Raw genomic sequence first — 2341 nt, forward strand, 5'->3', positions numbered from 1 at the left:
TTTACTTCCATGTCATGTTTATATTTACTATCTCCCCTGGCCAGAATGCAAGCCCCTGTGGCATGGGGGGTCTTATTTGCTGCACCGATCCATCCCAAATATCTTAAAACTGGCCTTGCACATGGCATAGAGCTCATGATAAAGACCCAAAGAATGACATGTAAGCCAAGATACAGACTTAGAGTTCATTCTAAGGGCAGTGGCACTTTGGCTATTTTTTGAGCAGAAAAATAACATGATCGCCGGGCGCCGTGGCTCATGCCTGTAATCCCAGCACTTTGGGAGGCCAAGGAGGGCAGATCACGAGGTCAGGAGATCGAGACCATCCTGGCCAACATGGTGAAACCCCGTCTCTACTAAAAATACAAAAAATTAGCCGGGCGTGATGGCAGGCGCCTGTAGTCCCAGCTACACAGGAGGCTGAGGCAGGAGAATGGCGTGAACCTGGGAGGCGGAGCTTGCAGTGAGCCGAGATTGCGCCACTGCACTCCAGCCTGGGTAACAGAGTGAGACTCTGTCTCAAAAAATAATAATAATAATAACATGATCAAATTTGGGTTTGATTGCTTTCTCTACTACGAGGGAAAAAAGACCAAAATGAATGAATGAATGAATGAATGAATGAAAGACTGAATGAATCTCAGAGTCTATAATTCCTGCTTTGGGGAGGAGGATTTTTTAGGTGCAATTCAAATTGGAAGCTGCTCTGTGCTAGTATCCAAAAGTTGAGCAGTATCCCCATTGCATCCCCACCGACACAAGCACCTGGCTCACAGGGACTCTGAGAGTGACAGATGAGAGAGCTGCCGACAGTGCAGTGAGGCGCCTACCCTCCCAGGATGAAGTGGGGACTTCCAAAAGTGAGCGAACCTCAACTCTTCAGAGCTCTGAGCAACTGCAGAGAGAGACCTAGTGTTTCCGTGGTTGGTATCCATCTGGTGCCTATCATCAGGGAGCGGCAGAGAAAGAGCCAGAAAAGAACCAGGGCAGCCACAGGGTTCCGGGTGTGACAGATGAAGACATCTCCTGACATGCCCAGTCCAGTGCCCCACAGCTGCCTCAGGATGAATTAGGGCTTAATACCAAAGCCACACAACACGGTGTTTGTGATATATTTACTCACGCTTAAGCCAGTGGTTTCAGAAAACAGAAGTCTCACTTCATTGTGTAGTTCAGCCATTCTCAGAAAATACTTTTTTTTTCAGATGGAGTCTCACTTTGTCACCCAGGCTGGAGTGCAATGGCTCGATCTTGGCTCACTGCAACCTCCACCTCCTGGGCTCAAGGGATTCTCCTGCCTCAGCCACTTGAGTAGCTGGATACCCGTGCCTGCCGCTAAGCCCACCTTATTTTTGTATTTTTAGTAGAGACAGGGTTTGGCCATGTTGGCCAGGCTGGTCTCAAACTCCTGACCTCAGGTGATCTGCCCGCCTCAGCCTCCTAAAGTGCAGGGATTACCGGTGTGAGCCACCATGCCTGTCCTCAAAGAACACTTTTGATGTTATTATAAGGTCCTGAATTAAAGAACCTCTTCAGATGTTGGTAAAGTTAACAGTCTCATGAAAACAGACATCTAGGCCAGGCGCGGTAGCTCACGCCTGTAATCCAAGCACTTTGGGAGGCCAAGGTGGGTGGATCACCTGAGGTCAGGAGTCCAAGACCAGCCTGGCCAACATGGTGAAACCCCCGTCTCTACTAAATGCAAAAATTAGCCGGGAATGGTGGCACCTGCCTGTAATCCCAGCTACTTGGGAGGCTGAGGCAGAATAATTGCTTGAACCTGGGAGGCGGAGGTTGCAGTGAGCTGAGATTGTGCAGTTGCATTCCAGCCTGGGCCACAGAGCAAGACTCCCTCTCAAAAAGAAAAAAAAAAATACAAACAGACATCCAGAGTACATACAGTACCCCCTTCTTCAGTGGTGCCTTCCTACCATCTGGGGTGTTACACACTTTCCTTTCATGCCATGTTGTTTTAATTATGCAACTTTATTCATCTATAGTATATGTGATAAAGAGCAAAGGATCTGTGTATATTCCTTATGAATGTCACGTTTTTCTACATATAATTTTTTTTTTTGAGATAGGGTCTCATTCTGTCACCCAGACTGGTGTGCAGTGGAGCGATCTTGGCTCACTGCAGCCCTGACCTCCCATGCTCAGGTGATCCTCCCACCTCAGCTTCCAGAGTAGCTGGGACCACAGACGTGCACCACCACACCCAGCTAATATATTTTTCTTTTTTTTTTTTTTTTGAGACAGAGTCTCGCTCTGTCACCCAGGCTGGAGTGCAGTGGCGCAATCTTGGCTCACTGCAAGCTCCACCACCCAGGTTCAAGCCATT

At 48.3% G+C, this 2341-nt stretch overlaps 1 annotated feature.

The window, feature by feature from the left end:
* Nucleotides 1514-1722: a silencer, noted in NCBI's record as "fragment chr8:70869603-70869811 (GRCh37/hg19 assembly coordinates)". NCBI's record gives its function as "represses an EF-1alpha promoter that drives an FKBP-Casp9 reporter gene in an ReSE screen in K562 erythroleukemia cells {active_cell/tissue: K562}" and the evidence as "EXISTENCE:reporter gene assay evidence [ECO:0000049][PMID:32094911]".

Source organism: Homo sapiens, chromosome 8 (genome assembly GCF_000001405.40).
Source record: "Homo sapiens chromosome 8, GRCh38.p14 Primary Assembly".
NCBI lineage: Eukaryota > Metazoa > Chordata > Mammalia > Primates > Hominidae > Homo > Homo sapiens.